We start from the raw sequence: 25198 nt of genomic DNA, 5'->3' as shown, positions 1-25198 counted from the left end.
AGTTTCACTCTTGTCGCCCAGGCTGGAGTGCAATGGTGTGATCTTGGCTCACTGCAACCTCCGCCTCCTGGGTTCAAGCGATTCTCCTGCCTCAGCCTCCCAAGTGTCTGGGATTACAGGTGCCCGCCACCACACCCACCTAATTTTTGTATTTTTAGTAGATAGGGTTTCACCATGTTGGTCAGGCTGGTCTTGAACTCCTGACCTCAGGTAATCCACCCGCCTCAGCCTCCCAAAGTGCTGGGATTACAGGCATGAGCCACCACACCCGGCCGATCACTTATGTTTTATCACATCTAATCTTCAGGGTCTAGTCCTCCCCTAGGCCCTATAAAATAGATTCTACTCATTCATTCAACAAGTATATATTGTACTCTTATTATGTGTCAGGAACTATTCTAAGTGCTGGAGATGTGCGAGTCAACAGAAAACAATGTTCCTGACTTCATGGAGCTTACAGTCTGGTGAGAAGACACATACAAAACAAACATAAAACTGAAATTGTCCCAAGCACTAAGATGGAGAGGCATCTGGTGCTGAGAATGGGCAGTCAAGCAAAACTGTGGAAATAAGGTTTGAGGTGAGCTCTAAGAAATAAGCAGAAGCTAACTAGACAGCTAAAGAGCAGACAAAGGAAATAGCTTGTATCAAGGCCCTGGGGCTAGAGAGAGGTCTAAGTATATGCAAATCAAAGATCAGTGTGGCAGTGGTCAGGGAAGAAGGGGGTATCAATTCTATCCCAGGTCTGCCTGATATCCGATACTCCAGAGCCAGAGTTCCTAACCATTTCAGCCTCTCCCGTAGAGGTCTAGCCCCAGTCACAGAAGCTAAAAGTCCACAGCTCACGTGCAGTGAAGAGAAAGCTTTAAAGACATAGGTGGGGTGTTGCGTGCGATTTTCCTAAGGAAGCCTTCCAGGAAACGAATGCAACCTTGAAGACTTGTAGGCATTGGCAGACAGGAGCTAGAAGACCTCCCCTAGATCCTTAACACGAAATATAGGCTTGACGCAGAAGCCTCTCTTCGTATCCCAAAGCGGACAGGTGAGAGAAATGATGTGACAGGAGCAAGCGAACTACAACCCCGCCCCGCCGTTCCTGCCCCACCACTGCGGCGGCGGGCGCTACGTTCCGGAAGCGGAAATGGACGAGAGGTCAGGGTAGGTTTTTGAAGATGGCGGCCCTCAAGGCTCTGGTGTCCGGCTGTGGGCGGCTTCTCCGTGGGCTACTAGCGGGCCCGGCAGCGACCAGCTGGTCTCGGCTTCCAGCTCGCGGGTTCAGGGAAGGTGAGTCATGCGTCCCAGCAACCTCCTGAAATTAAGAAGAGCGGCAGAGACTGCTTCCGCCAGCCCCGGTGCGCTCCTTCCTACCTTTCCTTCGTCCGATTCTGAAACTTTGGAGGTACCGGCTCCCCAGGCGTGCTTAAAAGCCCCTTCCACACCCTGGTGCCTTATCTTGATCTCCTGCCCCTTGTGAGTATCTTCACAAGGCGGAGGAGGACGGAGAGAAAAGCCTGCTTACTTAGCAGGAGCAGACACTAAACCTGTCCTAGGGCTCAGAAAAGTTTTCGGAAAGGGTTTGCATGTTAATTCTTCCTTCCATGTTCTCCGAATCGCAGTCTCTTTTATTAAAGAGTCTCTGGATCACGAAGGAAGGCCATCTGGGTACCCTCCCAGAGCCTCCCTTTCCACTTTCCCTTCTCAAAATGCTGTGATCTGATGGCGGCGTTCTCTGCCCCGGGCCGCTAGTCTCCCTGTGAGGGGGAGGCCAAAGTGGAAAGGCCATTGAATAGCTGAGACATAGGCAAATGCAGGATGGTAGTTCAGCTTTTCATTAATCTTAATCTGGGAAAGCGGCCTGATTCGAGCATCAACTGAGAGTTTACTGAATGCCAAGTGCTATGCTTCAAGCTGTGAAGGAATTCTGGAGACAGAAAATACAGCCCTTTTTCTGAAAAGCTTAGGTTCTAATGAGATTATGTATATACACACTCCAATAAATGCAAGTTAGCCTTTTACGTGACGAAGTACAGGGAGACTCAGTTACTGGAAACGGCAAACCCAGTTGGAAGTTTTCATAAAGAGGATGTGTCTTGAGCAGGCTCACAAAAGGATGGAATCTGGCGGAGAGTGAAACGGTCTTTTAGGACATAGCCTTCCTTTGTGTACTCCTGGAAGCAGGAAAGGATGAGTGATGTGCAAAAGAAGAGATGTGGGGTTTTTTGAGGATCTGGCATAGTATTGGGCAGCATATCCTTTAACGAAAGCTGAGAAGTATCCAGTGGAAAAGAGTGATCATTGTTGTCAGAGGGAGCAGAAAAGTCTAAAAAGGGCCTAATGAAGGGGCCATTGGATTTGTCTCAGAAGAGGTCTCTTTGTAGCTTTCAAACAGCAATTTCAATAGAGTGGCAAACAAGGAATCCAGTTTGGAGAAATGAAAGAGATAGTTGATGAAGAGATGGAAATAGTAAGTATGTTTGAAGAATTTAGCCCGTAAGGGAAGTGGAGCATTTGCTAGAAAAAAAAGTCTGGATATTGCCTGATTAACTTATCCATTAGTAGACCCATTAATAAAGACACTAAAGAAATCATGCAGATGATAGAGAGGACTTGGATGTTTCATTTGTTCCCATGCTGCAAAATAGGCATATCTCCATACCATTTTGGGGAGTCTACCAAGTGTCAAACACTATTGGCTACAATTTGCATATTCTTATGAAATTCAAAGTTGAGGCAGATTTTGCTATGCTTCCAGAAAAAAAGGCAAGAGGAATCGTTTTGTTTTAACAACAAATATTTGAAGTTAGACTTAATTTTTTCCTTTGGAGAGTTTGTGAAATGATGGACTGTAAGCCAGGTACAGTGGTACATATCTTTAATCCCAGCACTTTGGAAGGCCAAGGTGGGAGGATCACTTGAGCCCAGAAATTGGAGTCTAACCTGGGCAACGTAGTGAGAACGCCCACCTCTTTAAAAAAAGTAAAAAAGGATGGACTGTAAATCAAATGGGTCTCTGAAGTCCTTCATCTAAATGTTAGGTTGAATTAATATGATTCTACATGAAGGCACTACCATATTCTATATTCTTAAGAATCACCTATCTTCAAAGCTTGTAAATGAAAACATTTTCTTTTGCTAGTCTATGCATTATGTGTAAGGCATAAAGTATTATACATATAGCTAATTTTGACTAGTCTCAGCTGGTATATGTGACACCCAAACAATATTGTACACATAGAATTTAAAGTTGTGGGAAAGAAGCTGGTTCTCTTGCTGAAAATATTCAGGCATCCTACTTTTCAAAGTATCAGATAATAATACATAATTTTAGTCAGCTCTTGAGGACTGAGCACCAATTTTCCTGTCTATGAAGACTTTCAGTCTAAAACAGTGATTTTCAACTGGGGGGCAATTTTGTCCCCCAGTAACAATTGGCCATGTCTGCAGACATTTTTGGTTGTCACAACTGGTACTACTGGCATCTGGGGGGTAGAGGCGAGGGACGCTGCTAAACATAATGCACAAGTCAGTTCCCCACAACAAAGAACCATCTGGCCCAAAATGGCAGTCCTGCTGCTGTTGAGAAAGCCTGGTTTAAAGTTTGACCAGAGAGATACACAAAGCCAAAAAAAGGTTATTATGGGAAAAGCAAGACTGAAGGAGGACGAAAATAGAAATTGTGACTTACTGTGCCTGCTTCAAATACTGTGCTAGGTTTTCCACATACATTTATTCAGTCTTCTCAAAAACACCTTAAAGGTAGATATTAACTGTCCTCATTTTTATAAATGAGGAAATGCCGTTCCAAGGGGTTTAATAGCTTGCCCAGCATCACCTGTCTAATAAGTGATGGAGTTGGAAGTAGAGCCAGCCCTCTTCCCTCTCCACCAGTAACATCACCTTGGTATTCCATGGCAGGGCCTCCCTTATTGTTCCCTCCTTCCCTGAAAGCTCTTAGCAGTTAACTTGCCAAAGACCATTTAGTGCCATTATGGTTGGCACTGCCAGATTTAGCAAAGACTGTGTTGGATCTCATTCCTCCCTTATCCCTCTTAGAGCCCTTGTGAAGGAAATGTATTTAAAATAAAAAAACAAACATATTATTATATAAATTAAGACATGATTTGTCAGACACTTAGAGAAAGGTATATTGAAGTGAGTAAAGGCCAAAGGGAATTTGCTTCATCTCTTTCACAGTCAGTTAAGAAGGCCTTCTGGAAGACCTAACGTTTCAGACAAGGGTATGCCTGGCAGGTTGGGCAGTCCCATATAAAAGCTTTGAGAGAGGAGTGAGTTGGAGTCTTTAAAGAATTCAGGGGACATAGTCCAGAGTAACCTGCTAGTGGGAAGAAATTTTTGTGCAGCAGTAAGACGACTCATTCTGAAGCATAGGGCAGAGGGACATTCCCTCAGGGGTCCAAGGGAAAGAAAGGGGGAGGTGATGAGGGAACCAGAAACTTTAATGGTAGAGTTAAAGATGAACTGGAGGAAGCAGGGCTTGAGGCAGGAAGGTGTTTGCAAAAAGTTGTCAGTGGCCAGAAATGCAAGCACACATCCCAAACATGGCACACCTCTCCCTGACCCTACATAAGACTATTAGGGCCACTGCCCAGCCATCAGTTACTCCAGTCTTTCCTACTCTGCTTGGGCCCTGGTTTTTACAGATCCTCTCCAAGAGGGACCTTGGTCTCTGGGCACTTCAGCAGTGCCCTGCACTCCTCATCTTTTTTCACTTCCTCTTTTATTAAGCAGTTGAGTCTTTACATGGCTGCAGTTCACTGTGTCTGTTCATGTGGCCATCAAGGTTTTTTGCATTTTCTGTGTTTGTTGTTGTTGTTGTTGTTTAAGAGACAAGGTCTTGCTGTGTTGCCCAGGCTGGCCTCTAACTCCTTAGCTCAGGTGATCCTCCTGAGTAGCTGAGACTATAGGTGTCACCCCATCTCCTCCTTTTGCATTCACTGCAATCTCACCACAATGTCATTTGTTCCACACTGTTATAATTCAGTTATCTTGGACTCCATCCTGGGCAAGTATTTACTGAAGTACTCAAAGGACCTCTTTACGAGGCATGGACTTTATTATAGTCAAGTTCCCATGCAGAGTTTAGTTCTTTTCCTCCTCTAGGGCAAAGACTGTGGCTCCTATTCTACTGTAATTCACAGTAGGTAGAATGAAGCTGTATAGTCCATAAGTGCCCAGCAAATGTGTTGCCTCACTGGGGACAGATTATTTCATGTGTATGAGAAGTGCTTATCTGGAAAGATTTTGGCCCTTAGTTCCAGTTTAGAAAACTGCTTCATCTCTTCCCTTAGCTTACTTGATACTGCCATATCTCAGAACACAAGGGTGATTCCATCTTTTTCTAAACAAGTTTTCTGTTACTGCCTAAATCTCTCAGTCCAGCTTTTCTTAGCCACCCCCACTTCTCTTGAATAGGGAGGCAGCCAGGAACAAAATGGATCAGGTTTTGTTTGGTTTTGACACGTTTTTGTATGCACCCTGTAAATCAATACTATTTTGATTCCTATCTCCTCTTTCGAGGGGCTTAAAATCTACTAAGGGCCTCAAGGACCAGGTTCCAACAGGGCCTTCTCCCCCTGCACTAAGACACCACCCTGATCAGTGTCAGTTCAATGTGAGTTCTCAGGTCATTCCTTCTGGTTTGACAAATTGTCTCTGTTAGATAAGCATCTGCCTATTGTTTTACCCACTGGCTTCTAGTAAGATGATTCGCTGGCTCACAGTTGCTGCGTGGAGGGGGAGTTTGTGAACAGTGGAGCTTGCCATGGGCTTTGATCTGTTTTCCAGGGGCCAGTGGGATGACTTCAGGATTTGGTACTTTGCCGGGAGTGATGTGTGTTTTGTTAGACTTGTTTACCTCATGGTTAGGACCCAAGTGCCTCCACCAAGCAGGGAACCACATGTTTATCCACTTGTGTTTCAAGGCATTGTTCTTCTGCCGACTCCAGTGGTACCAGAACGTGTCTCTCCTTTGGTTCCTTTGGGGATTCTTAGAAACTTTCCCCACTACTTGTTGCTCAGATTAGGTTGTCTCTCAACTTGGTTTTTGCAAATTAGCAAAGTTGCAGGGTGCCTGGAACCCCTACTGGACTGGGGATGTGCCCTCCTCCTACCTCCCTTCATTTCTCCCCATCCTCCGTTTGTAGGTTGATTCTGCAGATTGACGTATTGCAGTGACCTTCCCTCTGCAGCTGTGCTGGCTTCCAGACTGAGGACCACATTGAGTCTCACCCAAATCCCATTCTTGGGTTGGTCTGTGTTCTGTACAAGTAGATCCGTGTGTGGGGTGACCCATTTTCTTTTACATGGAAAAACCTAGGTTGTCTTTGAATTGATTAGTAACTACAGTGTTCTCTGGAGAAAGCCTCAGGGCTTTTCTAGCCATTGTTATTCCTTTGTATGTCTGGAGTTGGACACTGAGAGGCTCTCAGGTTGGTTGTTTTGGAGCAGTGAGTCTTTATGAATGGGTTGCCCAGAAGACAAATGAGGGACAATTCCAAGCAGTCTGTGTCCAATTAGGTGTTGGTCACAGAGCTCAGTGATCACAGATGCTGCCATGGGCCTCTGGTTGGGTTACAATTGCCTTTTTAGTTAGATGGTCCCTTCTCTTTTTATTGGTGTTTGTTTGTTTATTTGAGATGGGGTCTCGCTCTGTCCCTCAGGCTGGAATGCAGTGGCATGATCATGGCTCGCTGCAGCCTCAACCTCCTGGGCTCAAGCAGTCCTCCCACATCACCTTCCCAAGTAGCTGGGATTACAAGTGCATGCCACCATGCCTGGCTAATTTTAGTGATTTTTGTAGGATTTTGCCACATTGCGCAGGCTGGTCTCCTTAACTCCTGAGCTCAAGTATTTCTTCCCGCCTCAGCCTCCCAAAGTGCTGGGATTACAGGCGTGAGCCACTGTACCCAGTCTGGCTTCTATCTTTCTAAAGAAACTGTGTCAACACGGGAGTATCTCCAAGAACTATTTGATTATATTAGCTGAATGTGGGCTATTGGCTCATTCTGCATCTTGGTTAGGTAAGATAGGAAATGTATTCAGCCTGACAGACGTGTGCAACTGATTGTCTTGCCTTCAGATTCTCTTCTGACTGCCTCACCTAAATAGGCAAAGCACTGAGGGTGTCCCTCTCTGTTTGGAATGGCAGTACTTGAAATTCTTCTTGGACCCAGTATCTTCATGCTCCTTATTCCTACCGCATCCATCAACACTCTCCAGTATAGATAATAAAATGCAACCCTGCAGGGAGAAGAGGATTTCACTCAAGACTCCCAGGATGTGTTCTAGGAGTGAACTTGTCTTTTTGCTCATTCACTGGGGTGCCACTGGAATAGTGTTAGTTCAGTGCTATATCTTACATTGTAAACTCTTCAGAGCAGAAACCATTCTTATCTGATTCTCTTTGTGCAGGAACACACACCGCCTGCGTACTTTTGAAGGTCTTTTAGATACCACTACCCCACCCTCTTTTATTGCTAGCCACCGTAGGACAGGATCTGACCAATTCCTTTGGATAGAACCAAGATAAATCTTTGCATAGAAAGGCAAAAACAGTGCGGAACTCCTTAATCCCATACCAGAGAGGTGATGCTACCTGGGTATCCTGGGCTTGCCCCCACCCCGCCTCAAGGGCATAGAGCCTTGGCACTAGTGGGGTGAACCCTGCATGCTTTCTGTTCTAGGTGGAGACCATGAGAGAGTACAGATGGAAGGCTGCTTTTTTCCAGATGTGTAGAATTTGAGCTGTTATTTGAAACTCTCTGTTCCTTATTAAATGGCTGACCTAATGTTTCCCCCTTTATCTCCGTAGTGGTGGAGACCCAAGAAGGGAAGACAACTATAGTAAGTATCGTTGAGTTGGCCATGTATAACCTCTTTAACGCTTGGAGCTGCCTGGCCGCTCCTCTGAGGGAGGGAGGGGCCCAAACTGGACGCCCAGCTCCAGGATCAGCTCCCTCAATGACCATAAATCCCACAGCCTACTATTTTTCAAGCTGTGTGCTATAGTGTGGTTAATCAGGAACAGTTGCTGTGCCTGGGCTGAGGTATCTGCTATTTGATGAAAGTGGCCTTTTGTGTAGCAAGGTCTCAGAGGCCTTTGCTGATAAGCTCTTTGGCGGGTGTTGAATCATTTTCCCAAAGGGGAAACTAAGGCATTGTTGCACGCCTAGAGAGCCAGAGTAAGTTGACCCAGAGCCAAGAGCCTGGACCTCAGTTCCTTTCTTTTCTGCCTAGAATGGCTAAACTGCTCCTTAAATGATGCATTTAAAAAGTGACATTCTCCCGGCCCTGGCCTCACTAGCTGGCGCCCTGGTTTGTCTGTTGGTAAGAAAGTTGGAACAATACTTCATCTACCCACTCCCCCGTTTCCCTCCCTGGGCCCATCCCACCTCCCTTCCTTGGGGAGTCATGGGGCCTAGATTATCCTATAATCCTTAAAAGACAACAACGCTGTTTTCACATGGCCTTCTATGCCTCCAAGAAATCCTCAGTCACTGCACAGAGCTCCCAGAGGCCTCTGTAACTTCCATGTCAACCAGATATTTAACCCTTTAGGTAGCCAGCCAAGCTCAATCCTCCCCAAGGCAGTCTTATTCCCAGGACAAGTCCATTGGGTCTCCCCCTAGAATGCTCCCTCTGCCTTTCCACTACTTAGCCTCAAAACAGTTCTTTTTAGGGGACCCCCCCCAATCCCCTTAGGGTACCTTTTAGGCTCCTTGATTCAAAGCCAAAACAAGCATTCACTCTATCAACTCCATGCTGGAGGAGAGAAATACATCTGACTTTTGAGTATAAAGAGTGTTTTTCATGTGGGGCATGAGTCTGCTGTTTGTAGAATAGATGTGGAGGCATTGTGGCCTATGAGAGCCCTCAGGGGAGGGAAGAGCCCATCCATGCCTTTAGCGGCATGGCCATGGCTGACTGGATATTATTCTCTCCCCTATGAAATAAGATCAGACACCTACCTCACTAGATTCTGGAGGTTAAGTGAACTAATATATGTGAACCATTCTTAGCACTGAGCCACACATATAATGGGGAGTCAATAAATGTTAGCTCTCCCCACCCCCAACCCCCAACCCACTGCAACCTGCCTCCCAAGGCCTACCGTGTACTTGCGAATTTTCTCTAACATCTCAGTTTCTGGTATAGTTGTGATTGCCATGGCAGAAGGAGGGTAGCAGTGCCCTGCACAGCCAAGTAGTACTTCCAGCCCCTTTCCCCTGTGCCACTTCTCCCCCAGGAGACAGTGTTGCTTCCCTCCCAAAGCCTCTCAGACCCGTCCCAGCCTCACTCTCATAACCCACAGCCTCAGTCAGCCAGGCTTTCTAAACTCCCCTCTTGCAATTGGAGCTAATTCCCAGGTCGTTGGTTTATTGCGCTTAGTAATTCCAAGGCTGTATCACAGGATACGGCAGCGATAGGGAGGTCATTTCGCACTTGGCCTCAGCAGGGTTTAAAAGGTGGCATCCAAAATGATAAAAGCAAGGAGCATGACAGAGAAATGTATCCTCCCATCTGTATCGTGTTAGTTTTTTCTTTCTTTTGTAAAGAGAGAACGAGTGCACGCATATCTGCTTATATGGCACAGCCCGGGTTTTTTCAGCCTTGCTATTCCTGGCATTTGGGGCTGAGTAATTCTTTGTTGTGAGGGCTGTCCTGTGCAGTGGAGGATGGTTAGAACATCCCTGCTAGATGCAGTAGCACTCCCTCCCCCAGTCGTGACAATTAAAAATGTCTCCAGACATTGCCAGATGTCCCCTGGGGAGCAAAATCACCTCTGGTTGAGACCCATTGGCATAGCCTTAGCTCTGTAAGATAAAGCTGGGAACTGCAGTTTCCCGCTAGGAGGACATGTGGGATGGGAGGGAGGCTTTCTTTGGACTCTATATCCCTGTGCCACTTAAAACTTTTTACCATGTGCATGTATTACTTTCCCCCAAAAGCCAAGGAGGGGAAAAAGTATAGTGTTCTGGTGCCTTTGTTTTTTTCGAGGACGGAAAGGTAGCATTCAATTGATAGAGCAAACCCCTCTCTCCCTCTTGACACTGGTATTAAGTTCAGATGGTTTCCATTACCCCTGTAGGCCACCAAACCACATCCCTGTAGCTATCTCAAGGCCTAGCATACGGCAACTACAGAATAAACACCACAGTTCAGGCAGAGAAACCTCTTAGCTACTCCCACAAGAACCCCCAAGGTAAACTTTCACCAGCATTACCATCATTTTGGGGTTTGTGCAAAGATAATGTGGCTCCACGCAGGTCCTGTCTCTCACACTGGCTCACTTTCTCTGTCTCCTAGATTGAAGGCCGTATCACAGCGACTCCCAAGGAGAGTCCAAATCCTCCTAACCCCTCTGGCCAGTGCCCCATCTGCCGTTGGAACCTGAAGCACAAGTATAACTATGACGTGAGTCTGGGTACAGAGACACTCGGTTCTGTGTGTCATGAAGTTCTCAGATTCCCTGGTTAACTGGAGCAGCATGTCCCCGCTGTAGCTACTGCTGCATTTCATGGAACCACCAGAGATGGGAGCATTTTGTCCAGTTGTTCTCAACCCTGGCTGCACATTAGAATCACCTGGGGAGCTTTTAAAAAATAATGATGCATGGGCTCCACCAGGTCCTCCCAAGCCACTTCATAGATGTGGTCTCATTCACCGCAGCTCTCCCTCTGAAGAAGACCCATCACCATCTTCGGTAGCCTAGGAGACTGAGGTCACAGTGTGGAATCAGCCTCGGGGGGTGGGGCCTGAGCATTTTTTCAATGCTCTCCCGTGGTTCTAATGTGCAACCAGGGTTGAGAGCCACTGATTGAGTTTGTGGTCTGGTCGTGCCTCAGACCACTAGGGCCCTTAACTCAGCTCGCCGGGGTTGTACTCTTGTGGGATGGAATCATGATCTGGGTTTGGCTTTCCTCTTTTATGATGAGGGTGTATTTGAACAGGCTCTTGGTTCTCACTGTGATCTGGGAACACATTACCTTGTCGTTCTGTATTGGAGCTATAAAGATACCTGATTGCTCAAGCTCTTCTAGTGCAGTCGTTTCCAGGGAAAAAAGACAGTAGTGAATAATAACAACAGCTAACATTGAGTGCATACTCTGTCGGGCACTGAGTACTTACCTGTTTTAATTCACTTAGTTTTCACAGTAACCCTATGAAGTAGGTACTAGTTTCATCCTCATTTTATAGATGAGGAAATTTGAGACATGGAGACGTTTGTGAACTTGCCTCAGATCCCCCAGCCAGTATCAGAGCTGGGATACAAACTCCAGGGACGAAAGCCCAGGCAGATCCCATGCTCCTAATGACTACACTACCTCCTCCCCAGAGATGGGGAGGGCGTGGGACTAAGGACACAGCCCTGGAGAAATCCTTACTTGTTCTTCAGAGCTCTCACAGGTGACATGAAACACCCTATTTTTGGGTTTCAGGTGATTCAGGCTCTGGGCCAGTTTGACCTGCAGGTTGTCCCTGTGCCCCTTTGTGGAATAGGATGACTAAAGGCAGAGATCCTGGTCAGGTGATAAGAGCAGGAGAAGCCACATGCCCATGGGATCTGAACAGAGTGACCCAACTAATCTCGTGGGCTGGAAGCCTTGGCTTGAGGCCACCCTGAGGGTTGGGGGGGTTCTTTCTGTCCTGGGGCCCTTCTCCTGATGGCCGCCTGGAGTAACAGGAAGCAAGCACACAGGCAAGGGGCAGTGTTCCCAGCCGCTCACCATGCGGAAGTTAGTGGGGTTGTGGGCATCCTTGGAACCTCAGCTGCTGATAGAAAAGCAAACCCCACACCCGCCCAACCACTGTAGGGCACTCTTCCTACCAGCCTTTTCCAGGAAACATACTTGGCTCTCTCCAGCAGAAGAAATCTAATCCCGGCTGAGGTAAAGGCTAAAGTTGTTTTTCCTCTTACCCCTTTCCACTCAGAGCACCATTATCCTGAGCTGCACAAAGCTGTTAGCTTGCTTGGCAGCCTAGGGTGGAGGGCTGGGGCCTCCAGCCCAGTTGATTAGCCCTGGATTAATCCAATCCAAGTTCTTTTCATCAGATTCTGAAAAGTACAGGGGTGGGAATTGAAGGCCTGGGTCCCTCAGGAACTGTCCAGTGATTAAAACAAATCTGCAGTTATGCAGCAAGGCGCCTGCCAGGGCAGCAAGTTGGTTTGTGGAACTTGACTGCTAAGATTGGCATGCCAGGCCCTTGCAGGGAGGGGAATGGTGAGTTTTCTTTAACCCCTTAAGCCATTCTATGACAGCGGGGTCTTGCTGTGTTGCTCAGGCTGGTCTCGAACTCCTGGGCTCAAGCAGTCTGGGAATGGTAACATTTTAGACCTGGCAGGGAGGTGGTCCCTTGTCTTGATTCTGGCTCTGCTTATCTATTCCTTTGACCTGTCCCAGGCAGCCTGGTGGGCATGTGATGGTCCGAAGGAGGCCCAAGAATCCACTCAGATCTGGTCACAGGGGGCCTAGATCATGTGAGATTAAACTTCACAACCCTGGTTCCTTCCTCCTTGGCTTTTATGCCTTCCTCGCACTTCAGAGGGAATGGCAGGAGGTGGAGGGGCTGTTTGCATATACTCTGGCTTGTGGTATATAGACTTTGAGGTCTAAAATGTTACAGGTTTTTCCTCTTGTGTGGAAACATATGGCATGTCTCCTAACCCTATCTGAGCAGACATTTTGTCCAAGAAAGATGCTTCAGGTACATAAAAGATTGGTGACCCTTCTTGAAGAGTTTCTGTTCTCTAACCTAGTCTATCAGAAGATGATCTCAGGAGGCTGGGTGTAGGGGCGCACACCTGCAATCCCAGAACTCTGGGAGGCCGAGGCAGGCAGATTGCTTGAGCCCAGGAGTTCAAGACCAACCTGGGCAACATAGCGAGACCCCATCTCTACAAAAATTAGCCAGGCATGGTGGCACGCACCTATAGTCCCAGCTACTCAGGAGGCTGAGGTGGGAGGATCACTTGAGCAAGAGATTGGGAGGCAGAGATTGCAGTGACCCGAGATTGCGCCACTGCACTCCAGCCTGGGCAACAGAGTGAGCCCTTGCCTCAAAAAAAAAAAAATCTCATAGAGAAGCTGGGAGCTCTTGGGGTTGATAATGGGGTACAGAAAATCTTACTAAGTTGGGATTAACCTTTGTTGGGTGAAGGTAGCAGACCCATGTGCAAAGCTCTGTGTGGAGGAAGTGATCTCAGCTAGGTTCCCAGGAGATATCAGCCTCCCCTGTAGACCATGAAGCCCTAGCTTCCCGGCATCAAAAGCAAGCCCAGCTGACCCTCATCCCCTATTTTCGGTTTCCACTAGGATGTTCTGCTGCTTAGCCAGTTCATCCGGCCTCATGGAGGCATGCTGCCCCGAAAGATCACAGGCCTATGCCAGGAAGAACACCGCAAGATCGAGGAGTGTGTGAAGATGGCCCACCGAGCAGGTAGAAGGCCCTGGGGACCAAGAGGGGCAGAGGGCTGCAGGCACTCTCTCCCCACCCAGCTGCCCCATGTTTCAGCCCCTCCTGGAAGAAAAGTGGATATCCGGAGTGTTAATTATACTCACCACCCAATGCCAACCTTCCCGCTCCCTTGGGCTTTCCCTCTGGCCCCCTCAGAGCTGCAGAGGGAGCTGCAAAGACTATCCCCTCTTCCCCGCCACTCAGGTCTATTACCAAATCACAGGCCTCGGCTTCCTGAAGGAGTTGTTCCGAAGAGCAAACCCCAACTCAACCGGTAAGCAAGCCTGGGTGTGAACAACCTGAGCGTTCTGCGCTCAGGAAAACTAGGGTGCACCTTGGCTGTCTGTTCCATTCCCTGCCAGCTTAAGCATCCACCCCCATCAGTCCACCCCTGCTGCAGTCTTCGCTTCTTCTGTTGCCTTCTTTGCCAACCTCAGCCTCTTTCCTCCCCTGTAGGGCCCTTAGCAAAGGCGCAAGGAGGGTAGAGGCCTGCTGATTGGGCATTAGAATGTGCTAATCCCCCATCTATGACATCACACTGGGTGGCTATGGGGATGTCAGTACTACAAATTTTCAGTATCCTAGCTCTCTCCAGCGCTGGGGTTATTAGAGGACAGAAGGCCTTAGAAATGGGAGGGCCTCCTGGGTTAGTGCCACTGAATACAGCTGTGCAGGTCGCACACTGGACAACTTCAGGGCAACATCCATGTAGACTAGGTCACAAATAGTGCTCCCCAGAGTTGTAGTTAACAACCTACACAGCGCCATGTGGCAGCCTAGGAGGCCCAGAGTTCATACAGAGAAGGAGAGGATGGCCTGCAGACCTTGGAATCACTTTGTCTGCCTTCTAGTCTAAGCAGGACCCTGTAGAGTGGAAGCAGATTCTTGTCTAACATTCAAGCAGCTGTCCCATTGCAAGTTCCCTTCTTCCCTCCTCTCTGGCATCAGCACACTCACATAGTCTTAGATCTCTAGTATCCCCTTGTTGAGAGTAGAGCCAGGTCTGTAGAATTGATTTGAGGGGGTTCTTCTCCCTACCAATGGCCCTTTCCTCCTGTCCAGCTGGTGGTTCCCAGACTGGAATGAGGAACATATTAGGTTGGTGCGGAAGTAATTGCAGTTTTTGTCCTTTTTTAATAGAATTGCTCTCTGTAAGGTATCAAAGATGACTGACGCAAAGCAAACACCTCAGCCCCCAGCAGACCTCCTAGGCTGATCCCCACCAGAACTCAGGCATGGAGGGTAGGGGGTGTGGGATGTGGGAATGCAGGGCTTCTTCCTGGTACCCTGCCTCTCTGTCCCTGGGGGCTAAGTCAGAGCTGGACCTTTACCAACACCATGCCAGCACCCTGGCTGTGTGCCCATCTCTACCTGTGCCCCCCACATTGCTAGCTCAGCCATCTGCCAGCAGCTCTTGGGGAGCAGGACATGCTAACCTCTTCCTATGTCCCCTAACTATGCTATGGACCATTTGGGGGTTGAGCCCACCCCCTCTGGCTTTTTAAGAGACAGCAGCAGGCCTGAGGACACAATCCATCCTGCCTCAGGCCTTTGAAGCTAGGCCAGGCGCCCTCCCATACATCCGGCATCCTTTAACGTGACACAGGATTGATGATGTGTGGGGGCTAGTCGGTTGCAAAAGGCCACGCTGAGCGGGAGGGGGAGTTCAGGCTACGAAGGAAATGGATTCCCTTGCAGGGGAGTCTCGTTTAATGCTGCCATGCATGGGCCCAGGCTCCGCTGGGGCCTGGCGGAGCCATGCTTTGTCTGCTGCTGTGTCGCTCCTCCTGCTGCCCCTTCAGGAGAGGTAGGAAGGGGCTGGTTTAGGAAAGAGACTTGGTTCTTGCTAGAGCTGGGGTGTTCCCAAAGAGCTGGCTGGAGGCCACCCGGCCCACCCCCTGCCAGCTGGCCGCTCCGTGTGGCGCAGGCATCAGGCCCAAGGCCAGCTAAAGCCCAGCTTCCCTCTCCAAGGCATGGGAGAAAGAACAGCTTTAGGGCAGTAGCTCTGGAGAACCTTTCCAGCTTTTCCTCTGCATCCCCAAATCTCAATGAGCACCCTTCTGGGGAGCCTGCTCCCATACCCCATCTCTTCATGTACCCCTCTGAAGCCTGGGAGAGGCCAGCAAAGGGGCCATCCCTGGTCCCCTCCCTTTACCTTACTCTTCTGTCACCTAGAACCACCGACCATAGAAAAAGCAGTCCCCTCACACCTGTAATCCCAGCAATTTGGGAGGCCGAGGCGGGCGGATCACTTGAGGTCAGGAGTTCAAGACCAGCCTGGCCAACATGAGGAAACCACGTCTCTACTAAAAATACAAAAATTAGCCATGCATTGTGGCGGGTGCCTGTAATCCAAGCTACTCCAGAGGCTGAGGCAGGAGAATTGCTTAAACCCAGGAGGCGGAAGTTGCAGTGAGCCGAGATCGCGCCACTGCACTCCAGCTTGGGCAACAGAGCAAGACTTCGCCTCAAAAAAAAAAAAAAAAAAAGCAGTCCCTATAACTAGCCTCCTTCACAGTCATCATCCTGGCCAGGGCAGTGACAATTCCAGGAGACACATGGAAGGCCCTCCCATCCCTGCCCAGCACACACTTGGAGTGCAGGCCAGCAACTCCCGCAGCTTCTGTCAACACAGGGCTGGCAGCAGAAGACCAAGGTCCAGCGGAGCTCAGTTGAACTGCATAAATCAGCAATCATTTTTTCACTTCTTTTATCTAAGAGTTTTTAGCTAAGGTTATTGAGTTTTTAAATAAAAAAGCTTTTTCTTTGATGGTCTCTAGAGACAGCTGGGTTGAGCCCCAACCTAGAATGGAGGCAGGGGAGGATTCCTGGCCTTTGTCATGGCTGAGCTTTCAGAATGAAGGATGGGCCTTTCTGGACAGGATCCAAGTTTTATTCTGGACAGAGTAAAACCCAATCCTAGCCGGCATGAGCCACTTTTCTGGGAACTATCAGGGCCCTGGCCATCCCCAAAGGAGGCCAAAGGTCCATGGGCGGCAGCCATCTTTCCCCACCCCCCTCCTATTTACAGGAACCTTCCTAGGCTAGGGCTGCGCCCACGGGCCCTTACCCCTTGATTCCCATCACAGGTTGGGTGAGGGGCAGGGGTCTTATACCAGTTATAGTACCCTGGGGAGTTCCCTGAAGGTTGGGGTAGCTGAGTGAGCCAAATGGGGAAGAGCAATGGGTTCCTCCAGAGCCTTACATCAGCTCTTCTCGCCCCATGGCTGAGGCCAGAGAGGAATGATCTGCTCTTCAGGCAGCCTCTTCGCCACCTTTTCCTCAGCAAACACACACCAACATTGACATTTACAAAGATCAAGGGAGCTTGTGGCCCTGGGCTGCCTGAACCTGGCCACACAGGCTTGCGGCAGCAAGAGCCCAGCCCATCTGTTTACAGGACGCTCAGCAGTTACTCCCAGGAAAATCCCTGCACTTCAGGAAAGGGAAACTGGTGAAAGGATTTGCTTGCCCAACCGTGGCCTGGCCTGAGGAGGTAGTGCTCCACTCTCCCACGTCCAGCTTGGGCCCCCAGCCCTCACAGGCACCTCTTTGTTCTCCCTCCACAGGTACCTGACGCGCTGGGCTCCTGGCTCCGTCAAGCCCATCTACAAAAAAGGCCCCCGCTGGAACAGGGTGCGCATGCCCGTGGGGTCACCCCTTCTGAGGGACAATGTCTGCTACTCAAGAACACCTTGGAAGCTGTATCACTGACAGAGAGCAGTGCTTCCAGAGTTCCTCCTGCACCTGTGCTGGGGAGTAGGAGGCCCACTCACAAGCCCTTGGCCACAACTATACTCCTGTCCCACCCCACCACGATGGCCTGGTCCCTCCAACATGCATGGACAGGGGACAGTGGGACTAACTTCAGTACCCTTGGCCTGCACAGTAGCAATGCTGGGAGCTAGAGGCAGGCAGGGCAGTTGGGTCCCTTGCCAGCTGCTATGGGGCTTAGGCCATGCTCAGTGCTGGGGACAGGAGTTTTGCCCAACGCAGTGTCATAAACTGGGTTCATGGGCTTACCCATTGGGTGTGCGCTCACTGCTTGGGAAGTGCAGGGGGTCCTGGGCACATTGCCAGCTGGGTGCTGAGCATTGAGTCACTGATCTCTTGTGATGGGGCCAATGAGTCAATTGAATTCATGGGCCAAACAGGTCCCATCCTCTTCATGACAGCTGTGAGCTCCTTACTGTGGGAGAGCTGCAGGGAGCCAAGGTGGGCTGCCTGACACACTTGCCGCTCTCGTGTGAATCCAAGAAACTGCGTTCCTCAAAGGGGCCCTGGTTGTCACCTTCTCCCACAGCCATTTCCACCCATCGTTGTCTAGAATCTCTTTCATTAGCACATTCCAACCCCTCTGCCACTTGGTTTAGAAATGAGCTCCCTGGCTCAGTGGGCCTTTCAGAATCTGGAACCAGACGGAGGTGGAGTTAAGAAGATAGGACAGAACAGGCAGGCCAAGTTCACTGAAGCTTAAGAAAATCATGTTTAGACTCTGTTTAAAAACATCCAGGCTGGCTCCCATTCTATAGCATGAAGGGCAAGTCCATGTTCTTCTCGCCAGTGCCCACGTAGACGTAGCCATAGTTCTTGGTGCGGGGAGCATGGTAGAAGGTGAGGCCCGGCCAGAGCAGGCTGCGCAGCACCACCAGGGCATTGCCCCTCTCCATCTGGATGCTCCAGGACCCTGAGATAAGACAGGCAGGAGGTGAGGCCTGGTGCTGCTGGAGCCACAGCTCTGCCCTTCATGCTGTGGCCCCTGGCTCCTTGGGCAGCCAGGCCCAGGTGCTATGGTTCCACTGGGGAGAGACCATTTAATTCTCCAGATGCTTTACTCCCTGATTGTCTTTTAGCCATTATTCTTTTCGTTTTAAGAGACATGGTCTCACTCTGTCACCCAGGCTGGAATGCAGTGGCGCAATCACAACTCAATGCAGTCTTGACTCCTGGGCTCAAGCAATCCTCCCACCTTAGCCTCCAGAGTAGCTGGGACCATGGGCATGCACCACCATACCCAGCTAACTTTTCTGATTTTTTGTAGAGATGGGGCCTCACTGTGTTGCCCAGGCTGGTCTCAAACTCCCGGGCTCAGGCGATCCTCCCACCTTGGCCTCCCAAAGTGCTGGGATTACAGATGTGAGCCACCACGCCCAGCCCTTTTAGCCATCTCACTGCTCATTAAAACCACTTTCAGAGGGAGGGCAAAGGAAATGAAAAGAGGCGAAACTCAAACCAGTCTGTTTTGTTCCTGTCAGCAAGTCTAGCTAAAGGTTGAGTGGGGGAGGAGGCTGAATCCAATCCACAGGCAGAGGGGAGTTGGGCTGGGCCAAGGGAGACACCAGCTCCTCCCACACTATACCTAGTGCAGTCACCAGTTCTAGTGTGGTTTGCCACTACTTGCCATTTTGCTGTGTCTTCCCCATTTCCTGAAGCCTCTCCTGAGTTGGATTAGACCAGACCAGGAAAGGAAGGCTCAAATAGAAATTTGGGCAGTTCAGGCCTCCTAGCTCAATGGCCCTTTCTGGCAGCTGGTAGACTGGGAGCCATCCTTGGTGGGAGGGGACTTGGGCTGCCCCTAATGAGCCTTTGTCCTAGGTTCTGCCCTGGTTTTTGTCTCCCCACACAGGAGCAGCCCAGCTCAGGGCTGAGTCGTGCAGCCATGAGGACTTGGCTGGAAGGGCCTGATTAAGCTCCAGAACCGAGGGAGGGAGCCACAGTGTGGGAGGAAGGAGCCTGGGAAAATCGCCTCTGGATGCAGATCTGGGGCTTCTATTCCCCTGCGCACTGAGGCCTCTCCCGGCCCAGCCACAGCCCTGCTCCAGGCCCTGCCAGAAAGGCAAATGCTTTGAAAGTTTTGGTGTTGGACCAGCCAGCCATGCGCTGAGAGCTTCTCTGAGGCCTTCATCAGCTGCCAGCTCAGCCTGGCTGCTTGGCTCCTGCTGCCCCAGCTTCCCACGGGCCACCTCCAACCATGGTTCACCCTAGTCACTCCACACCCTGCAGCCTCACAACTCAGTGCCCACCCACTGGGGGCCACCCTGCATCCAAGAAACCTGATTGCCAGGAACCCCTGACCCTCATGGCAGCTCATGCACCCTTACTCAGGGTGCAGCCGCCTGCCCAGGTCAAAACCAAAGTTTTCTGGGCGTATATAGTTTGGCTGTCCCTGGTCCTGCTCAGGGAGAAGCCAATCGCAAAGCTCACTTTAGCACCGTGCAGTGGCCAGCACCAAGTGCCATCGCCCATGCAAAGGATGACGTCAGCCCCCTCCAGCCCACACAGTGCCTGCTGGACAACATCAAGAAGAAAGTAGTGCCCCTGTGTTAGCGGGGCTCCGGCTGGAACACTGCCCCTGAGAAGGAGTATTTCCCCTGACTCTTAAAACTTTTCTCTGGGTGCTTGAGGTCCTCTGCCTCTCAGACCTGCCCTCAGAGTTTGAGAGTCCCTAGCCTGGTACTTTCCTGGTCATGCATCTCCAGAAAACAGATTGTTTAGGATTGATGAGGGTGGGGGTCCAACAGGACAGAGTGTTCCAACTCCACTGCTTCAGCCTTGGACAAGAAGCACAGACCCAGGGAGATCCGATTCCCTCACTTGGTCACCCCACCAGCCTAGAGTATCGTCAGGGACCAGGCTCCATAAAGACAGTCCCTCAGCCCCTTGAACTAAGACCAGACTGCCTCATCTCTATCTGCCTACTGAGGGAGGGCAGCTTGCAGCCTGCCTGGGCTAGGTGCTGCCCTGGAGAAAATGGAATCCTGGAGTCCTCCAACCTAGACCCTTGTCAGTTCATTGTTGCCAGCACCTTGGCATGCCTGGGCAAGGGCTTGGTCCTGCCCTGCCCTCACACCAGCCTGCCTGCCTAGGCTTTGGCCACCTCTTGCCTCCAGTAGATAATGCAGGGGGCGGGGGGCAGTGTTCTTGGACGAAGTGGCCTAGGCCTATCAGCAGGGGCTCCTACCCAGAGAGCAAGGAGAAACTGGCAGGGGAGCTAGGGAAATACAGTGCCCCCGCCTGGCAGGGGGCAGTGCTGCGCAGGCGGGAGGGTGCTGGTGGAGTACGGTAGCGGCATGTAGGGCCAGCCAGAAAACAGCACTGCCTCCCTCCCTCGCATTCCTGTCACACTCCTGTCCTCTCATCGTCCCTGGCTCAGCTGGTCGCCCGGGAAACACAGACTCAACGTGCCAGGAGTCACGTAGCATCTACCTGAAGAGCCAAGCACTTGCTGTCACCTTCACCCACTTTCTTACTGCAACTGCTGAACAGGCTGAGCCCAGCCAGCTGCTGTCACCGCCTCCAGGACTCGGGGAAAAGCCCCCTGCAGACTTGGTGCTGCAGGTTCACAGCCCCCGCTCTCTCTTCTCTCCCCAAATCCCTCCTGCCCCCTAGCAGCCACTCTTCTCCAGAAGCTGTGTTTTGAGGATGTGATGGGTACAGGTTGGTAAATCAGGAGGGGTTCCTCCTGGGTTTCCTGGGCCCACAGGGTCTCACCCACCTTGCTAGTATGGAAACCTCAGGCTAGGGCGTACTTACTCTAATTACATTCTCCTGCCATCCTGGAAGAAAGGCAGCTCTGGGATTAAGATCGAGGGACAGTAGGCCAGGCTGGGGACCAGGGCTGTCCAGGGGCAACAGATGGCTCAAACCCTCTCAGATGAGCACCAACAAAATTTTTGTCACATACAAAAAAAAAATGGCCATGGGTTCCCAGTGGGAGAGGCACCCCCATCCCCTACAAGGGCCACAAGAATCATATACCCCCTAGAGGCCTGAGGACAGAGGAGGAGGAGGAGGGAGAAACCTCTGGCTGCCAGACCCGTATCAAATCGAGTAGCAAAGGCAGGCCCCGTGGCCCAGAAGGCTGAACACTTGTCAGCCAGGCTTCCAAGGAACTGGGGCAGGAAGAGCCACCTGCGCACATCCCGAAGGGAAGGCTGACCCTGGGCACCATGTTCCCCCCCGCGCCCATGCCCGCCTCACTCGCCCCCTTCCCGGTCCTCAACCACCACCAGCAGCAGCTTTCAAAGGCTGCTTTCCAGGTAGGCAGGCAGGCGCGTTGCTGCCCTCTGCTGCCTGAACTGAGCATTGCTGCTGAGGAATTGCTTGGGAAGGAGCCCCAGCCTGTGTGCACCTGGCAATTCTGAGACCTTTGCACCAGCCCAGAGTGGAGCAAGGAGAGGAGCAGTGGCCCTCCAGCCCTCCTCCTTTACCTCCCAGGACACCGATGCTTGCAAGGCACCCTCTAGTTTACATTTCCCTTTCCCATCCTCTGTTTCATTTGATCTTCCCAAACCTCTGAGGCAAGGGAGGTGTTTTTCTTATTCCAAGGGCATCACAGGTGCCTGTTGTAGCTGCTCAGTGGCTATTTGCTGATATAGTGGATGTTCAGGGAGCATCGAATGGCAAGATACTACCTAGGAATCTAGGCTCCTGACCGGGCGTGCTGGCTCACGCCTGTAATCCCAGCACTTTGGGAGGCTGAGGTGGGCAGATCACCTGAGGTCAGGAGTTCGAGAGCAGCCTGGGCAACATGGTGAAACCTCATCTCTGCTAAAAATACAAAAATTAGGCGTGGTGACATGCGCCTGTAATCCCAGCTACTTGGGAGACGGAGGCAGGAGAATTGCTTGAACCCAGGAGGCAGAGGTTGTAATGAGCTGAGGTTCCAGCGAGACTCTGTCTCAAATATATGTATATATATGGCCTCCTGACCCACGGCTGCATCTATGCCACCTGGCTGCAGCCCAAGGTCAGAGAACTCTTAGTCATTACCCTGGATCCGGCAGGAGGATGGTCCTGCCACCCCAGAACCAGCTACCCACTCCCATGGAACTTTGCGGATCCCTGGACACGGCATGACAACTCATGAGGACAACAGCTCTCCCACTCCTCTCTTCAGCCAAGGTGTCTCTTGTCACTTTGGCCAAGGGACAAGATGCGGAGTCGTTGGCCTACCTCATGGACACAGAGCAGGAGTCCCAGGAACAGGGCCAACCAAAACCACACCTGCTCAGAAGCCACGTGAAGTCACCCTGAACAACTGCCTCAGACCCTGAAAGGAAACAGTTATCCTAACTGGCCAGAAAACAGCTGCCAAATCCCATCCCTCCAGCCAGTCCTGGTGTCCCAGGGAACTCTTCCTTGGGATTTTGGCCCCAATTAGCAGCCCAGCCCAGCTGCTGCCTGCCTGGCAGGGGAGCCTCCAAGCAGCTCAGACTGCTCTTTTCCTAGCTGATAAGGAAAGGGGACCGGGGAGGAAAATCAGAGCTGTCCGCTCTCCTGTGACCATCCACACTTCCACTCCATCGCCATGACCCTCATCGAACCATCGTGAGAAAAAGGTGGGCCTAGGCTGGGCACGGTGGCTTATGCCTGTAATCCCAGCACTTTGGGAGGCTGAGGTGGGTGGATCCCTTGAGCTGAGTTGTTCAAGACCAGCCTGGGCAACACGGTGAAACCTCATCTCTACAAAAAATACAAAAACTAGCCAGGCATGGTGGTCCACACCTGTAGTCCCAGCTACTCGGGAGGCTGAGGCAGGAGGATCACTTAATCCTGGGAGGCGGAGGTTGCAGTGAGCCAAGATCATCCCACTGGCCACTGCACTCCAGCCAGGGCAACAGAGTGAGACCCTGTCAAATTAAAAAAAAAAGAAAGAAAGAAAGAAAGAAAAACTGGTAGTAGTGGCTCTGGGAGGAAGGACCTGAAGAGTATGGGGAGGTTTCCCAAGGTAAGGCCAGGAGCATCCCTCCCCTGAGGCCCACATGCCCAGGAAATGCCAGGAGTCCTCAGCTTCCAAGGTTCCAGCTCATAAAGCAACATGGTGGGGTGGACTGGGAAGTGAAGCCAGCAGCTGATCCTGCAGCCCTGAGGTCACCATCAGGGCAGGATGCCTAGGGCCTTGGGTCACTGCAGCTCACCCACCTGCCAGGCCCAGATGCCACACCTCCCATAGGCCTGATGAATTCACTTGCCAACTGGACACATCAGAGTGGCTCACCAGGCTGGAATGCAATGGTGGCCAATCACAAGTAACCTCAAACTCCTAAGCTCAAGCGATTCTGCCACCTTGGCCTCCCAAAGCACTGGAATTATAGGCATGGGCCACCTTGCCCAGCCCCAACCCCAGCAGCCTTTAGGAAGACTCCAAAGCTCCACATTTTACTTCTCCTGTTGCAAGGAAAGACAGCTGCCTCCAGGGTCCACCTTACCCGAGACAGCAGAGGGCAGATAGGGCTGATGGTGTTCCCTTAGGAAGACTTTGCTGGGCCCCACCCCATCTAGCTGGCTTTGGTCTTGGCTGCAGAAGCTCTATCACCCTCTTCACCCCTCTTGCTGCACAGTGGATGAGGCTCCACGGGCAAAGCAGCACTACTGCACCAGCCCCTCTCACCCAGCACAAAGGAGAGTTTCATCTTCTGATTCTGGAGCATCCAGCTGCAGGTAAGAAGGCTGCAAAGGGCTTGCCAGACACACCCTGAATCAGGGGACAGGGCTGCTGCCCTCAGATTAGGGGAATGAAGAGGACTTCTGTAGGCCCACCCCTCAGCCCCTGGCTCTGAGGTTCCATCACCACCGCCGTTCCAGGCTCCCTTTGTCAACGAGGGACGTACAGCACCCTCAGCCTCCTGACAAGTCTGGGAGCAGAGATGGAGGAGATGAGGGGAGTCTGAGAAGTATGTCTGATGGGCGAGAAATGCCCCAACCCCTATAGACCCTCTTCATATCCCCCTACTTGTCCGGAGACCCTCCTCTCTGTCACTACAGCACTGGCCCTGCTCAGAGTAGCTTGACTCAGATGTTCCTGTATGATGGAAGCCCAAATGGCCACTCCTTGGTGGCAGCTCCTACCCACTCAGAACCATTGCCTGGCCCCTGGGGCACTGCAGTAGCCCTGAAATGGCCTCATGATTCCTGGTTTGCCTTGCCCTGTCTCGCTCCACCTGTGTACCACTGCCTTATTGTCACAGACCTGCTCACAAGCCACCAGCAGCTTCTACTGCCTTGGCCTTCTAGGCCCTCCTAGGCCTGCCCCAACTCATCTCTAAGGACTTTCTGCCACTAAAAAAATTAATAATAAGGCCAGGTGCAGTGGCTCACGCCTGTAGTCCCAGCTACTCAGGAGGCTGAGACAGTAGAATCACTCAAACCCGGGAGGCAGAGGCTGCAGTGAGCTGAGATCATGCCACTGCACTCCAGCCTGGGCGAGAAACTCCGTCTCAAATAAATAAACTCTGTCTCAAAATAATCATCATCATCATCATCATCATCACAGGTTTACTTTGATATATTGCTCTTCACAAACACTGCAGTTTTTATAAATTGAAGGTTTGCATGTGTAAAGCCAGTATATCAGTGCCATTTTTCCAACAGCATATGCTCACTTTGTATCTCTGTGTCACATTTTGGTAGTTTTCACAATTTTTCAAACTCTTTTTTTTTTTTTTTCGAGACATTCTCATTCTGTCACCCAGGCTGGAGTGCAGTGGCGTGATCTCGGCTCACTGCCACCTCTGCCTCCAAGGTTCAAGTGATTCTCGTGTCTCAGCCTCCTGAGTAGCTGGGACTACAGGTGTGCACACTACACCTGGCTAATTTTTGTATTTTTAGTATAGATGGGGTTTCACTATGTTGGCCAGACTGGTCTCAAACTCCTGGCCTTTAGTGATCCGCCCACCTCGGCCTCCCAAAGTGCTGGAATTACAGGCATGAGTCACCGCAC

General features: G+C 50.8%; 2 protein-coding genes across 9 annotated transcripts in view, besides 10 other annotated features; one reads left to right on the top strand and one right to left on the bottom strand.

The window, feature by feature from the left end:
- Positions 791-1402: an enhancer, noted in NCBI's record as "H3K27ac hESC enhancer chr6:43655287-43655898 (GRCh37/hg19 assembly coordinates)". NCBI's record gives its function as "activates a minimal SCP1, AML or CMV promoter by ChIP-STARR-seq in naive and primed H9 embryonic stem cells {active_cell/tissue: H9 hESC(naive and primed)}" and the evidence as "EXISTENCE:reporter gene assay evidence [ECO:0000049][PMID:30033119]".
- Positions 791-1407: a biological region, named in NCBI's record as "H3K27ac hESC enhancer GRCh37_chr6:43655287-43655898".
- On the top strand, positions 1161-17750 carry MRPS18A (mitochondrial ribosomal protein S18A). 3 transcript variants are annotated; one of them, NM_018135.4, is made up of 6 exons: positions 1161-1284; positions 7832-7863; positions 10327-10434; positions 13335-13458; positions 13681-13750; positions 17046-17750. In NM_018135.4, exons 1-6 carry the CDS (start codon positions 1173-1175, stop codon positions 17188-17190), a joined length of 591 nt encoding a protein of 196 aa, NP_060605.1. In that variant the 5' UTR covers positions 1161-1172; the 3' UTR covers positions 17191-17750. The 3 variants fall into 3 exon arrangements, with proteins under 3 accessions (NP_060605.1, NP_001180272.1, XP_006715197.1); NM_001193343.2 differs by lacking the exon at positions 13681-13750; XM_006715134.4 differs by having other exon boundaries at positions 13335-13750.
- Positions 1348-1407: an enhancer, noted in NCBI's record as "active region_24613". NCBI's record gives its function as "activates an Ori minimal core promoter by ATAC-STARR-seq in GM12878 lymphoblastoid cells {active_cell/tissue: GM12878}" and the evidence as "EXISTENCE:reporter gene assay evidence [ECO:0000049][PMID:35858748]".
- Positions 4795-4844: an enhancer, noted in NCBI's record as "active region_24612". NCBI's record gives its function as "activates an Ori minimal core promoter by ATAC-STARR-seq in GM12878 lymphoblastoid cells {active_cell/tissue: GM12878}" and the evidence as "EXISTENCE:reporter gene assay evidence [ECO:0000049][PMID:35858748]".
- The window catches only part of RSPH9 (radial spoke head component 9), a 27565-nt gene continuing 18718 nt past the window's right edge, over positions 16352-25198 (bottom strand). For 4 of the 6 annotated variants that reach the window (NR_187614.1, NR_187613.1, NM_152732.5 and 1 more), the window contains one exon: positions 16352-18163. Coding sequence is in view for 4 of the 6 variants with exons in the window: in NM_152732.5 (NP_689945.2) it covers positions 18003-18163 (161 nt within the window). In the remaining 2 variants the exon portion in view is untranslated. Of the gene's footprint in view, positions 18164-22431; positions 22529-25198 lie in introns of all 6 variants that reach the window. The other 2 variants (NM_001424119.1, NM_001193341.2) reach the window with 1 other exon arrangement.
- Positions 16827-17459: an enhancer, noted in NCBI's record as "H3K4me1 hESC enhancer chr6:43639230-43639862 (GRCh37/hg19 assembly coordinates)". NCBI's record gives its function as "activates a minimal SCP1, AML or CMV promoter by ChIP-STARR-seq in naive H9 embryonic stem cells {active_cell/tissue: H9 hESC(naive)}" and the evidence as "EXISTENCE:reporter gene assay evidence [ECO:0000049][PMID:30033119]".
- Positions 18652-18891: a silencer, noted in NCBI's record as "silent region_17239". NCBI's record gives its function as "represses an Ori minimal core promoter by ATAC-STARR-seq in GM12878 lymphoblastoid cells {active_cell/tissue: GM12878}" and the evidence as "EXISTENCE:reporter gene assay evidence [ECO:0000049][PMID:35858748]".
- Positions 20066-20225: an enhancer, noted in NCBI's record as "active region_24611". NCBI's record gives its function as "activates an Ori minimal core promoter by ATAC-STARR-seq in GM12878 lymphoblastoid cells {active_cell/tissue: GM12878}" and the evidence as "EXISTENCE:reporter gene assay evidence [ECO:0000049][PMID:35858748]".
- Positions 20316-20405: an enhancer, noted in NCBI's record as "active region_24610". NCBI's record gives its function as "activates an Ori minimal core promoter by ATAC-STARR-seq in GM12878 lymphoblastoid cells {active_cell/tissue: GM12878}" and the evidence as "EXISTENCE:reporter gene assay evidence [ECO:0000049][PMID:35858748]".
- Positions 21026-21175: an enhancer, noted in NCBI's record as "active region_24609". NCBI's record gives its function as "activates an Ori minimal core promoter by ATAC-STARR-seq in GM12878 lymphoblastoid cells {active_cell/tissue: GM12878}" and the evidence as "EXISTENCE:reporter gene assay evidence [ECO:0000049][PMID:35858748]".
- Positions 21796-21865: an enhancer, noted in NCBI's record as "active region_24608". NCBI's record gives its function as "activates an Ori minimal core promoter by ATAC-STARR-seq in GM12878 lymphoblastoid cells {active_cell/tissue: GM12878}" and the evidence as "EXISTENCE:reporter gene assay evidence [ECO:0000049][PMID:35858748]".

Source organism: Homo sapiens, chromosome 6 (genome assembly GCF_000001405.40).
Source record: "Homo sapiens chromosome 6, GRCh38.p14 Primary Assembly".
Taxonomy (NCBI): domain Eukaryota; kingdom Metazoa; phylum Chordata; class Mammalia; order Primates; family Hominidae; genus Homo; species Homo sapiens.
The sequence above is the reverse complement of the archived record's forward strand: the minus strand, read 5'-3'. Positions and strand labels throughout refer to the sequence as shown.

What these genes read in the sequence shown, in the direction of transcription:
- MRPS18A (XM_006715134.4), top strand. Translation starts at nt 1,173, where the DNA reads ATGGCGGCCCTCAAGGCTCTGGTGTCCGGCTGTGGGCGGCTTCTCCGT. An exon ending in AGCTCGCGGGTTCAGGGAAG is followed by an intron (nt 1,285 to 7,831) that starts GTGAGTCATGCG and finishes TTATCTCCGTAG; the next exon opens with TGGTGGAGACCCAAGAAGGG. An exon ending in AGCAAACCCCAACTCAACCG is followed by an intron (nt 13,751 to 17,045) that starts GTAAGCAAGCCT and finishes CTCCCTCCACAG; the next exon opens with GTACCTGACGCGCTGGGCTC.